Source organism: Homo sapiens, chromosome Y (assembly GCF_000001405.40).
Source record: "Homo sapiens chromosome Y, GRCh38.p14 Primary Assembly".
Taxonomy (NCBI): domain Eukaryota; kingdom Metazoa; phylum Chordata; class Mammalia; order Primates; family Hominidae; genus Homo; species Homo sapiens.
The window spans coordinates 4599962-4615146 of record NC_000024.10 but is presented as its reverse complement, the minus strand read 5'-3'; the positions used below and the strand labels follow the sequence as shown (position 1 = coordinate 4615146).

The window sequence follows — 15185 nt, the reverse complement described above, 5'->3', positions numbered from 1 at the left end:
CCTTAAAGCTATATCTATCTATATGCTGATTTCATCTACTAGAAAACGTCAGATTCATCTACATTTATTAGGTCCCTTCTCTGTGCCAGGCACTGTGTTAAATATTTCCACATACTATCTATTTCAATATTCATGCAAGTCACTTAGCGAGGCATTGTTTTTCCTCTTCTACATAACTTAAGTCTAAGAATCAAGGAAGTAAATGGTTAAAAATGCACTCAAGTTCACACAGTTACTAATTGTAGATTCCAGGTTCAAACCAATGTCTTCTGTTAGAGCTTGCTGACTCGCTACCTGAATTCACTTGTGAATTTTGCCATAGCATATTCTGTAACACACTATCTGCGTTTTTTATGTTTTTATTTGTGTCCAACTTTGATATCTACCACAATACACAGCACCTTGTCTCATACATATTTCTTATCAGTATAAATCCATGCAATGTAAGCAGAAATTAATTAACAAAACAATCTTACTTCCCAATTTCATGTGATCTTACTCTCTAATCGACTTAGATGTAGAGAAGCAGGAGCAGAAACAGCAAATATTGGTGCCCCATCCTCAATTCAGTGCAAATGACATTGTCCAGCGGGAAATTGTGAAAGTAAATGAAATAATGCCTGAGAAGTACCAAAAACTTTTCATTTGAACGGTGCTATATACACTCAAGGATTTAAAAAATATATATTGTGGATATTAAACCTAGTTAGAAATTACTTAAATTTATATTGAGAAGTCTTTACTGAGGAAATTAGTATCATAATCCAGTCACACATGATAAAGGATATGAGCCAATATTTAAACAGTCTGGTCCATTTACTGGACACAAGGGTGCCATTGATCTAAAGACTACATTTAGTGAATATAATACCCTTAGAGTTAGTGGCTGTAATTTTCTTGAGTTCATAAAATTTCATTTGGCCAATATTCAACTCTAACCACATAAGTCAGTGTACTTAAATATGCTGGGCCAGTAAGTCAGCAGGCCTTCACCAGTGCTAATTTTGCTCTCTCTCATTTTAAATTAAATTTTCTTTAAGCTTAATCAATTGATTTAGCAAATTTAAGACCACACATTAAGAAGCAGAGTCAGTATGAGGCTAAAAAAGTCTGATAGAGTTAGAGCATTAGTTTTTCTCTCAAGGATAGTTAAATCAGCTGCTGAAAACCTTTAAAACATCTAGAAAGCAAAACTTTATATTCAAATGCAATGGGAAAAACCTCTGTCATTATTATGTGTAGGATACAACTCATTTCCTCACGTTTTAAACATGTTCCTTTATTTCATGTCCCCAAAGGCTTATATATACTATGCTGATTTTTTAGTTATCAGGAATTTAATATTAGTCCTTTTACATTTTAGCTTTCACAATATGTTTGAGGATCACTGAATTGTATATAAAATTTAGCTGCTTTTCTCCTGATTGAATAATAAATAAAAGTTACAGCAGAATATCTAACCTATGGGGGCACAAAACAATGAGTAATATGTTCTCCACACGCAGTATGTGATTAGAAATAATATTATAAATAGTATTATGTGTGGTACATTCTGTTGAACCCTGATAAAGAAGTGGAATGATTCATTATCTAGTTTAAAGGCGTAAATTAATGGGAAAGATTAAACTATAACTCTGAATGGCTGAGAATATAACAAGAATAGAAGAGAAACAATAGACTAATAAAATGGAACATGAAGATATATTTAAAATAGAAGTTAAAACTTTGGAATAAAATTATTTGTCTTAGTTCAGGTCACTTAAACTCTCTGAACCTGAATCTGTTCATCTGTGAGGATAATAATTACTGTATTACAAAGATTTGAGCACTAAATGAAATTGCTGTGAAGGCCCTTGGCATTGGTAAATAATGACATTACCATGTCTGCTTTTTAATTTTTGAAATTATGTATTACGCATTTTAAAACTCTTAATATCAATCTTTATGTCACATTAAAGTACACTTTAAGAGAATCCATTCTATTTACATCTTAAGAATTGCTCTTAGTAATACATTTCCTTCTGTAAATACTAGCCTAGAAGTTACATATGTTTTCTTCTGTAAAATCTAAATATTGAAAATACACAAATATTCTTTATAAATATTAAAGTTTTAATATTAAAAGCTATTAAAATATATATGTACTTTTTTATACTTTTGATGAAATATATTCAAATTGGACAAATTTTCAGTGGCATAACATTTCGTTTTAATTTTTTTATCATTGAGAATGAACAAAAGTCAAGACTGTGATAAACATGTAAAATAGGAAAGTAAAGTTCAGTTTTTTGTAGGGGCCAAGATGGCAGACTACACACAGCCAGGAGGAACATCTGTCACTGAGGGACTGGGACATCCAAAAGACTGGTACACTATGAGCAGATCTTCAGAGAGAAGGCACTGAGAGTGGATGGAAATAGGGCCCACTTGCTGGGATGAAGAGGGAGGTAGCTGGGACCCCTAAAGGAGGCTTCCATACACTGGGACTCATTACTGGCCCCCGACAAATCCTGGGGAAGGGATGAGTTGAGGAGGTGTGAAGTAACCCCCTCTCACCAGGGACCTCTGGAATCCTGGCAGCAGGATACCCACAACCCCTACAGACACTTGAGATGCCAGGGAGAGCTTCTTAGAAAGGTGTCAGGGGCAGGATTCCAGGCTATTCAGAGCCCAAACAGTTTGGTACAGGAATGTCTGCAATGGAGCAAGGCCAGGGATGCCCATCCCCTCAATGCTCAACAAGCTTCCCTAGGAGAATTTAGTCATGGGGGAACTATTGGACCTGATCAGAGCAGGGGGAGTCTCGCCTGTGAAATGGGCCCAGTCAGATATAATCAATCCCTTGTCTTCTGGCTTCTCCCAGGGCACCAGCCAGGCTGCACTTGCTTGCAGTACAGCCTTGGATGCCCAACCAGGGTGCCTACCGGGAGCCTGCATTATAGCTCTTTCACTGGAAAACTCCACCTGACTGTTGCAGAGCTCCAGCAGAGCAGCCCTAACCAACACACAGCATCCCCACCTGCACCACCTCCCGTAAGATCCTCCCCCAAGCAAATTTGCGAGCATGCATTTGCTGATAGCTACTGCCCCATCACTTTGCTGTCTCCAGTGCACTCATGGGTGGACCTTGCCTCCTCTCCCCACTGGTGTACGTGTGTGCATGCACCCCATTATGCCACTGCTGCCAAAATGAGCACACCCCCGCAACCCTTCTGCCATTGGAGGAGCAAACTCAGGCACAGAGGCAAATGTCCTCATCCCCCATCTCCACCCCATGCTGCCACTGCCGCTGCTGGTGTGAACATGTGCATGGAGGCTGGCAGCCTTGAACTCTGCCAGTGTCCTGCATCTGCACCAACATGGCTGCCAGAGTGAACATGCACATGGACACCAGTTGCCCCATCCTCTTCACTCTGGTTCACACTGCCACTGCTGCTGCTATGAACACAGACATGGAGGATGGAATCCCCATGCATGCCAGAGCCCTGCCCCATTCAACAAGCATGCAAGCCACTGCACTGCCACTGCTGCTGTCATGGGCAAATGAGCCTGGACCCCACTGCCACTGCCCCAGTGAAGCACTTTTTCTGACACCACTTATTGGAGTATTTTAGCCAGAAGTCCAGGAACTCTTTGGTACTTCCAGTACAGTAGGTTCCTAATTTCGAAGTGCTGGAGAACATAGCTAGTGAGTTGTCCCATACAAGTCTTCCAGTGGTAGCCCAGGAGTGCTGAACTGAGCTTTGGTCCCCTAAAATCTTCCAGAAACAAAACCATTCAACTGAACTCATTTTATTCCACAATCAAACCCCCAGGGGCAACAAAGAAGATAAAAGCAAATAAACTAATTGGAAGGACAGTACATTCAAAGATTGAAGGACCATAACCCACACAGATGAGAAAGAACCAGTGCAAGAACTCTGGCAACTCAAAAAGCCAGCGTCTTCTTACCTCCAAATGATCACACTAGTTTCCCAGCAATGGTTCTTAACCAGACTGAAATGGCTGAACTGACAGAAATAGAAATCAGAAAACAGATGGGAATGAAGATCATTGAGACACAGGAAAAAGTTGAAAACCAATCCAAGGATTCTAAGGAATATAATTAAATAATACAAGAGATGAAAAAGGAAATTGCCATTTTGTAGGAACCAAACTGATATGACAGAGCTGAAAAACTCAGTTAAAGAGTTTCAAAATAAAATCTCAAATGCTAACAGAAGAATTGATGAAGCTGAGGAAAAAAAATCTCAGAGCTTAAAAACCAGATCTCCAAAGTAACTCACTCAGACAAAAATAAAGAAAAAACAATATAGAAGAATAACAAAGCCTTCCAGAAACATGAGATTACGAAAGGAGACCAAATCTACAAACTCATAGGTGTCCCTGAAAGAGGAGAGGAAACAAGCAACTTGGAAAACATATTTGAGGATATTGTGCATGATATATTCTCCAACCTCATTAGAGATGCCAACATTCAACTACAGGAAAAGCAGAAAATCCCTGTGAGGTACTACTCAAGAAGACTGTATGCAATACTCATAGTCATGAGATTTTCCAAGGTTGAAATGAAAGAAAAAATGTTAAAGTCAGCTAGAGAAGGGGAAAGTCACCTACCAAGGGAACTGCATTAGACTAACAGCAGGCCTTTCCACAGAAACTCTAGAAGCCAGAAGAGCTCGTGTACCTATATTCGACATTCCTAAAAAGAAAATTCTCACAATTTCATATCCAGCAAAACTAAGCTTCATAACCAAAGGAGAAATAAGGTCCTTTTCAGACAAGCAAATGCTAAGGGATTTTGTCACCACAAGAACAGAATATACATTATTCTCAGCTGCACATGGCACATACTCTAAAATAATCCACACAATCTGCCATAAAACAATCCACAGCAAATTCATAATAACTGAAGTCATACCAACTGTACTCTTGGACCATAGCACAATAAAAATAGAAAACAATACTAAGAAAATCACCCAAAACAGCACAATTTTATGGAAATTAAACAACCTACTCCTGAATGACTTTTGGGTACACAATAAAATTAAGGCAGAAATAAAGAAATTATTTTAAACATATAAGAACAAAGATACAACGTAACAGGATCTCTGAGACACAGTCAAAGCAGTAAGAGGGAAGTTTCTAGCACTAAATGTTCACATAAAAAAGTTAAAAATATAACGAATTAACAACCTAACATTACACCTAAAGGAACCAGAGAAACAACAGCAAACCAACCCCAAAGCTAGCAGAATAAAATAAATAACCGTAATCAGAGCTGAACTGAAAGAAATTAAGAGGTGAAAACCACACAAAACATAAATGAATGCAAGATAGTTTTATATAATGAATAAAATAGACTGCTATCTAGACTAACAAGAACAAAAAGATCTAAATAAACAAATTCAGAAATGAGAAAAGGGGACATTACCACTGACCACACAGAAAAAAAAAAAAAATCAGAGAGTACTATGAACATCTCTATGCATGGAAACTAGAAAATCTGGAAAAAAATGGATAAATTCCTGGAAATGTACAACCTCACAAGATAGAACCAGGAAGATATTCAATTCCTGAACAGGTCAATAATGAGTTCTAAAACTGATTCAGTAATAAAAAGCAGAATATCCAGAAACAGCCCGAGACCAGATGGGTTCACAGCCAAATTCTATGAGATGTACAAAGAAGAGCTGGTACCATTTCTGCTAAAACTATTTCAGAAAATTGAGAAGGAGGGACTCCTTCCTAACTCATTCTATGAGGCCAGCATCATCCTGATACCAAAACCTAGTAGACACACAATTAAAAAAAAATTTAGATCAATATGCTTGATGAATGTGGATGCAAATATCTTCAACAAAATGGTAGCAAACCTAATCCAGCAGAACATCAAAAAGCTAATCCATTCTGGTCAAGTAGGCTTTATCCCAAGTATGCAAGATTGTTTCAACATATTCAAATAAATAAATGTGATTCATCACATTAACAGAGCTAAGAACAAAAACCACATAATCATATCAATATATGCAGAAAAGGCTTTTGATAAAACTCAACATTCCTTCATGTTAAAAACCATCAACAAACTAGACATTAAAGAAATATACTTAAAAATAATAAGAGCCATCTATAAAAAAAACTACAGCCAACACTACACTGAATGGGCACATGCTGGAAGCATTACCCTTGAGAAACAGAAAGACAAGGATGCCATCTCTCACCCCTCCTATTCAACATAGTACTGGAGGTCTTAGCCACAGCAATTAGGCCACATAAATAAATAAAAGGCATTCAAATATGACGACAGGAAGCCAAACAATTCTTGTTCACAGACAATATACTTGTGTACCTAGAAACCTCATAGTTTCTGGGCAAAAGTGCCTTGATCTGATAAAAAACTTCAGAAAAGTTTTGGGATACAGAATGAATGTACAGTAATCAGTACCATGCCTGTACAACAGCAACATCCAAGCTGAAAGCCAAATCAACACAATTCCTTTCACAATAGACACAAAAAGAGTAAAATACCAAGCAATATAGCAAACCAGGAAAGTAAAATATCACTATAATGAGAATTATGAAACACTGCTTAAAGAAATCAGATAGGACACAAACAAATGGAAAAACATCCCATGTTCATGGATAGGGAGAATTAACATTGTTAAAATAGTCATACTGCCCAAAGCAATTTACAGATTCAATGGTATTCCTATCAAACTAACAATTACTTACTTTACAGAATCAGAAAAAAAAACATTTTAAAATTCATATGGAACAAAAAAAGAGCCTGAATAGCCAAGGCAATCCTATGCAAAAAGAACAAAGCTGGAGTCACCATATTACCCAACTTCAAATTATACCATAAGGCTACAATAACCAAAACAGCATGACCCTGGTACAGTAAAAGATGCATACACCAGTAGAACAGAATAGAGAACCTAGAAATAAAGCCTTACACCTACAACTATCTGATGTTCAACAAAGCCAACAAAAATAAGCAATCAGGAAAAGGACTCACTAGTTAATACGTGGTACTAGATAACTGGCTAGCCATATGCAGAAGATTGAAACTGGACCCCTTCCTAACACCATATAAAGAATCAACTCGAAGTGGAATAAAGACTTAAATGTAGCACCTAAAACCATAAAAACCCTAGAAGATAACTTAAGAAATACCATTCTAAGCATAGACCCTGGGAAAGATTTCATGATGATGAATCCAAAAGCAAATGCAACAAAAACAATAATTGACAAATGGGATCTAATTAAATAAAAGAGCTTCTGCACAGCAAAATAATTGTCAACAGAATAAAGAGACAACTTAGACGATAGGGTAAAATATTGGTAAACCAAGCATCTGTCAGAGGTTCAATGTCCAGAATCGACAAGGAATTTAAATTAACAAGTGAAAAACAAACAGCCCCATAAAATACCAGGGAAAGGACATGCGAAGACACTTTTTTATTTTTTCAGATTTATTGAGGTATAATTAAATTATACAAATATACAAATAAAAATTGTATATAGTTACAGTGCAAAACATGATTTTTTTTAATTTCCAACTTATATTTTTAAGTTCAAGGTTACTTGTGCAGGATGTGCAGGTTTGTTAGATCGGTAAACGTGTGCCATGGAGGTTTGCTGCACAGATCATCCCATCACCTAGGTATTAAGCTCAGCATCCATTAGCTATTCTTCCGGATGTTCTCCTTTCTCCCACACACCCCCCACCTTCTGGCAAGGCGTCAATAGCGTTGCCCTAGGTTACAAAGGCAGAGGGGCTCCCCAACAGTTTGGCAGTCAGCAGATTGTCACAGGGGTGAGGGGAGCAAAGAAGCACTCCCACAGAACCTTTCCATGGGGCTCTGAGTTCCCCAGGGGTTGATCTCGGCTAGACTCTTGCTGCTTCCCTTTTCTGCATCTGGGCTTCTTCCTGTAGGCTCTCCAATAGGCCCTGGGTCTCTTCTCTCAGTTTTCCATTTGGAACTTTTCCATTCACCAGTAAATTTGATTTTCTTTCTGAGGAGAAGAGGCATTAGATGGCCCGAGTTAGCCATCTTGAAAAACATAATTGGAACTACATTGTAATTTGACTTTTGTAAAATATCTTCAGATATTTTTTAAGAACACTGTGTGTTTTTGGGTTTGTAAGTTTTTAAATTTAAAAAAACATTTAATTGACAAATGAAGATTGTATATATTCAAGGTGTACAGTGTGATAATCTGATATATGTATATATTGAATAATGATTATCATAATGAAATTAATTACAATATCCTTCACCACCCATGCTGTACATTAGATTCTTAGAAGTTGTTTATTTTATAACTGGAAATTTGTGCCATTTGACCAATATCTCCACATTTTCCCCACCCCCAGCACCTGGGAAACACAGTTCCACTCTCTAAGTGTTTCACTTTTTTAGATTCCACATATAAATGAGATCATACAGTATTGGTTCTTCTGTGTCTAGCATGTTGCACTTAGCAATAATATCTCCATGCTGTCAGAAATGAAATGTCTTTTTCCTGTTTTAAGCTGAATAATATTTATTGTTTGTATACATACACATTGTGATAAACACACACACACACATATATATATATGAAATTATATGCGGGGTGCGGTGGCTCATGCCTGTAATCCCAGCACTTTGGGAGGCTGAGGTGGGCAGATCACAAGGTCAGGAGTTCAAGACCAGCCTGGCCAACATGGTGAAACCCTGTCTCTACTAAAAATACAAAAAATTAGCTTTGCGTGGTGGTGCACACCTGTAATCCCAGCTACTTAAGAGGCTGAGGCGGGAGAATCGCTTGAACCTGGGAGGTGGAGGTTGCAGTGAGTCAAGATCGTGCCATTGCACTCCAGCCTGGGTGACAGAGCAAGACCCCATGTCAAAAAAAAATTATATATATGAAATATTATATATATATATATAAACATTTTCTGTATCCATTTATCCATCAGTGAACACTTGGATGGATTCCATAGCTTAGCCACTGTGAATAAAGCTCAATGAACATGGGAATCCAGATATCACTTTGACATACTAATTTCATTTCTTTTGGGCATGTAACCAGAAATTGGATTGCCTATAATTTCATTGTATTGCCTTTATAAATTACCAAGTCTCAGGTATTTCTTTGTAGCAATGCAAGAATGAACTAATACAGTTAGTCTACCTAAAGGTTTGTCAGATTTCTTCTTTTCAAAAAACCAACTCTTGGTTTTATTGATCTTTTCTATTGTCTTTCTTGTGTCTATTTTATTTTTGTTCTGATGTTTACATTTTCTTCTTTATCCTTTTAGCTAAGTTCTTCTTTTTCTTGAGGTGCAAAATTTGACTGTTATTTGAGATCTTTTTTTTCTTAATGAAGGCATTTATTGCTACAAATTTTACTCTTAGAACTGCTTATGCCGAATCTTTTAAGTTTTTGTATGTTATGTTTCCATTTTTGGTGTTCTTATAATGGTTTTAAACTTGCTTTTAATTTATTTTTTGGCCCTCAGTTGTTTAGGAACAAGTTGTTTAATTTTCACACATTTCTGAATTTTACAACATTTCTGCTATTGGTGATTTCTAGTTTTATAACATAGTGGTCATAAAAGATATGTGATATGATTACAATATTCTTAAATTTGTTAAAGGTTGTTTTGTGGCCCAAAATATGATATATTCTGATGAAGATTCCATATATACTTGAGAAAAAAATTTGTGCTACTGCTATTGGATAAAATGTTCCATATATATCTCTTAGGTCCATTTGTTCTATGCATTTGAATGAGCAAACACTTCTTTCAGTATTTACAGACTACTTTTGGCAGATGAAGACCTTCTCCTGTTGATTTCCTGTGCTTATTGGATTATCTCCAAGATTGTGGCCAAGTGGTGTTTGAACCAGGTCATGTGACTGCTGCTGGTTTTGCATTGGAATTTGCACTTAGTGGGCCTGTTACCAGGGGCTCTAGGGAGTATGAATCCTATATGTTTTTTGAGTGGACTGGACTGACTCCAGGTCTTTGGTCAGCAGATCTGGCACTGGAATAAGGATCTACTTCAAAATCTGCAGATGGTTTTCCTGTTTCCAGGTGATGAACGGGTACTGCTTCTTCTAGGTCTCTGGGAGGGCTTATGCTGGGTAATTCTGAGAATCCTCAGACAGATAATACCGACCCTAGACCATGGCTGGAAGGGCTTTGAACTGAGTCCAGGACTGGTTCAAGTCTGTAGCCATGACTGAGGCCTATAAGCCTGCCATTGGTGTCAGAAGTGGATTTGTATTCTAGTGGCTTCCTGGGAAAGCAGGACTGTTCTCAGACCATAGCTGACATGAGCTGGAGTCAATTTACAGGGCTGTTTTAAGATTCACAGTGGGGCCAAGGTCAGTAGGCTTGCCTACAGAGGCAATGCTGAGTGAATTTTTCTCTAGGTCCCTCCGCAGTGTGGAAAGAACTGCTCTCAAACTGCAACTTAGAGGGGCTGGGCTGAGTTGCAGAGCTATCTCAGGATCTGCTGTGGGGCCAATGCCAGCTGGCCTGGCTACAGGGGCATGGACAGGCATGCATTCCTTCAGGCAGAGCTGCTCTCAAACTGCAGTAAGAAGGACTGGGGCTAAGTTTGCAAACCATTTTAGTATCTACCGTGGAACTGAAGTCAGAAGGCCTTCCCCAGTGACACTAGTGTGCATGACTCCTCCTGGGCCTTTGGCAGATAGTTTTGGTCACAGAAACAAGGTAAAATAGTGCTGTAGACAAGTCCACAGGGAAATAAGGCTGTTTCCAGGTTTGGCATCAGGACAATGGTTTTTGAGTCTAGCACTGGGGCATGGGTCTTGCCTCTTAAAAAGGCATTCCTAGGTCCGAGGTGCCACCAGAGTTTCACAACCTCCTACCTCAGTCCTAATGTTTCCACAAATGCACTTTTGTCCATGGATGCCTGCAAAATTATTGTTGTCATAAGGAGATATGAGTGCACCAGCTCCTAACTCTCCATCTTGCTGAATATCACTCTTCTCATTTTATGATTTTTATCTACTGGCTTTTGATTAGTATGATAAAGTATGTTAAATATTTACCTAAGACTAAACCTTTTCTAGCTGATATTTTATTTAAGGTTTTGCATCTGAAATTGTACTGCATTTTTCTTTTTTATCTATTTGCTATGTCAGTTTTGCTATCAATATTATGTGAGCTTTAAAATAAATGTTTGCAATTTTTTTTATTCGTGTTCTGCAACTGTGTTAGTTTGCTAAGGTTGTCATAATGTTATAGGAGTTATTAAGAAATTATCTTAGGCAGATAAAGAGGAAAAGAGGTCCTTGGGAAGTTGTTGTTTCTTTTAAAGCAGCTCCAGAAATGTTTCTTGTCTAGCAGGAAAGCACTGGTTCTTAGAGTCAGGCTGGCCACCTTTGATATGCAAATGCTGGCCATTAGAAACTGGGTCTGCCCAAACATGGCAATTCCTGTCGCCTTCTTGCCCTTGCCCCAACATGTGTCTGGCAACATGGCCTCCCCAACATATCCCCATGTGTAGAACATCATGGCGCACTGCATTTGCATAATAAAAGGCTAGGGCGGAAGGGCCAGCTTTTTCATGGGCTATGTGAATGACATGCCTGGTCAAACCAATCCCCTGAGCCCTATGCAAATCAGACACCACCTCCTCCAGCCTACTCATATAAGTAGCCACTTTTCTGTTGCACATGGGGTCTCCTCTCTTGGCTTTGGGAACCCCTCCCTCTGTCTGTACAGGGGAGCTTCTTCCTTCTTTCTTCTCCCTTCTTTCTTGCCTATTAAACTCTCCACTCCTTAAAATCACTCCACAGGTGTCCATGTCATTTTACCCAATTCCCACGAAACAAGAGCCCTGGGGGCCGGGCGCGGTGGCTCACGCCTGTAATCCCAGCACTTTGGGAGGCCGAGGCGGGTGGATCATGAGGTCAGGAGATCGAGACCATCCTGGCTAACAAGGTGAAACCCCGTCTCTACTAAAAAAATACAAAAAATTAGCCGGGTGTAGTGGCGGGCGCCTGTAGTCCCAGCTACTCGGGAGGCTGAGGCAGGAGAATGGCGTGAACCCGGGAGGCGGAGCTTGCAGTGAGCCGAGATCGCGCCACTGCACTCCAGCCTGGGCAACAGAGCGAGACTCCGTCTCAAAAAAAAAAAAAAAAAAAAAAAAAAAAAGAGCCCTGGTGTTCCTCCACTCATCGGAGCTGTATCAATAGCAACGTACCAAAGAGTTGGATGGATTAAACAAGATAAATTTATTTCTCACAGTTCTAGAGGGATAGAAGTATAAGATCAAGGAATCTACAAGTTTACTTTTTTCTAAGTCCTCACTCCTTGGCTGACAATGGCTGTCATCTTGCTGTGTCCTCACATGATCTTTCATCTGTGCCCACATTTTCTTGCTGTCACTCTGTGTGTGCAAATTTTCTCTTCGTATAAGAACACTGGTCAGATTAAATTAGGCTTCGCACAAGTGGCCTCATTTTGACTTAATTACAGCTTTAGGGGCTACATCTGAATAGTCACATTCTGAGATATGGAGTGTTAGAGATTTAACATCTGAATATTGGGGGCACACAATTCAGCCCATCACAGAAAGAGTTAAAATAATACTGGATTCATCTGTATTCTAAAGATTTAAGATAATTGACCTACAAAGACATTCCATGACTAATAAGTTTTAAGTAGTTCTTTGACTACTTTTTCAAAACTGTTTTCTCCAATGACAATTTGTCTGTTTAGATTTTCTAGCTTTTTAAAGAAACAATTTTGTCATTTTATATTTCCCAAAAAAATCAGGTATTTCATCTATATCATCTTTGATATTATTTTTATAAACTTGAATTAATTATGTTATTATATCATTTTTTCTTCTTCTGTATCAGTGTTCACTTCCCCATTTATATTTTTCATGTGCGTATTTTTTGCTTTCTTCTTTTTTCAAATTTTTAGGCATGTTAGTGATGTATCTATCTATATTTAAGGAACAAATTATTTGATTTACTTATGAGATCTACCGCTACCGTTTATTTTTCAAATTTTTTCTTTATTTTCATTGTGGTCAATACTCTGGTTAAAAACTGGGATATTCTGTGGTCTTGAGTTCATCCTGGGGCTGTGTGAGACATAAATAAACTCTTTGCAAGTTGGAGAATTGTAGTATTGTTGGTAATTTAAGAGCCAGGTTTTCAGAGTCAAATACGCATGAATATAGATCCTGAACATGTATGATTTCAGACAAGTTATTTAAACTCCAATACCTCAGTTTATTTGGAAAAGAAGTGTAAGTGTACCTATCAATGTGGATGATGAAAGGACTACATAAGATATCAGAGTTGTTAAGAGGAAAGGTTCTGCAGAGTCATTGGTCTTAAATCATCAATCCATTTACGCTCTGTGTGACTGTGTTTAAATGATTTATCTTTTCTCTGCCTGAGTTTCTTCATTTGTAAAATAGAAATAATAATAATACTTACCCAGGTTACTTTTGAAAAATAATTAGGATTAGTACTTTTAAGCACTTCAGAGAGTGACTGGCCCTTAGTAAAATAGTAAAAGAAATGAAGAATTAGTATTACTACTAGTGTATTTGGGCCCTGATATTTAGAAATAGCCTCAATAAACAATAAATGACTATTAATGAGAAAGGAAATGTTAATATATTAGAACTGCCTATATGTACATTTATCTGAGAACCTGACCTATAAATATGTTGTAAATTAACTCTAATTGTCTTAACCAATAATTTGTTTCATGAAATCGTTTATTTTTTGTCATTTACTTTTTAAAAATTGTAGTGAGATATGCTAATATAAAATTTCCCATTCTAACCATTTTTAAGTGTACAGTTCAGTGGCATTAACTATATTGTTAATGGAAATCTTGTTAATGTACATTGTTGTGGAAACATCACCACCATCTACCTCTAGAACTTTTTACATTCAAAAACTGAGAATTTACCTATTAAACAATAATTACCCATTTCTCCTACACCCATCCCCTGGCAACTACCATTCTACTTTCTGTCTGTATGAATTTGACTACTTTAGTACTTCTATACCAAATATAAGTGTATTTGTCCTTTTATGACTAGCTTATCTCACTAAGTCTTAGGCAATGTATTTAAGATTTATCCATGTTGTAGCATGTGTCAGAACTGTCTTCCTCTTCAAGGCTGAATAATATTGCATTGTTCATATATTAGACCCTCCATATTTTTGGGTTCCGCATCCATAGGTTCAAATTGCCATAGATCAAGAATATTTTGAAAAAATGGATAAATGCCTCTGTACTGAGCATGTAAAAATAATTTTTCCTTGACATTATTTTCTAAACAGTAGAATATAACAATTATTTACATTGCACTTACATTGTATGGGGAATTATAAGTAATCTAGAGATGATTAAAAATACAAAAGAGCATGTGCATATGTTAAATGCAAATACTACATCATTTTATATTAGGGACTTAGGCATCCATAAGTGGATTTTGGTATCCACAAAAGTCCCTAAAACCAATCCCCCATAGATACTGAGAAACTACCATATATACCACATTTTGTGTATTCATTAGTCTGTGAATGGACATTTGGGTTGTTTCCACCTTTTGACTCTTGTAAATACTGCTGCTATGAACATGGGTGTACAAATATCTGATTGAGTCCATGATTTCAACTCTTTTGCTGATATACCCAGAAGTGGAATTACTACATCATATGGTAATTCTATACTTAATTTTTTGAAGAACTACCAAACTGTGTTTTGCAGCAGCTGCAATACATTACATTTCTAATGGCAGTGCACAAGTATTCCAATTTCTCCAAGTATTTTCTGTTTTTTGTTTTTTTTTCTTTTTTTTTTTTGTTTTGGAGATAATCATTATAATGGGTGTAATGTGTGATCTCATTACGGTTTTTATGTGCATTTCCCTAATAATTAGTGATATCAAACATGTTATGTGCTTATTGGCCATTTGTATCTTCAATGTCTATTCAAGCCTTTTACCCATTTTATAATTTGTTTTTTTTGTTGTTGTTGTTTTTAAGTTGTTAAATTCTAGGTGTTCTTTACATATTCTGGATACTAACATGTTATATATAATTTGCAAATATTTTCTCCCATTCTCTGGATTGACTTTTCCTTCTGTTGATAGTACTCTTTGATGCCAAAAAACTTA

The 15185-nt window shown here is 37.3% G+C and overlaps 1 non-coding gene across 1 annotated transcript; it reads right to left on the bottom strand.

Moving 5' to 3' along the window:
- Positions 1-8918: 8918 nt before the first annotated feature.
- Positions 8919-9027, bottom strand: MIR9985 (microRNA 9985). Its single transcript, NR_162096.1, has one exon. It is a non-coding gene; the product is annotated as a microRNA 9985 (primary transcript).
- Between the last annotated feature and the right edge of the window lie 6158 nt (positions 9028-15185).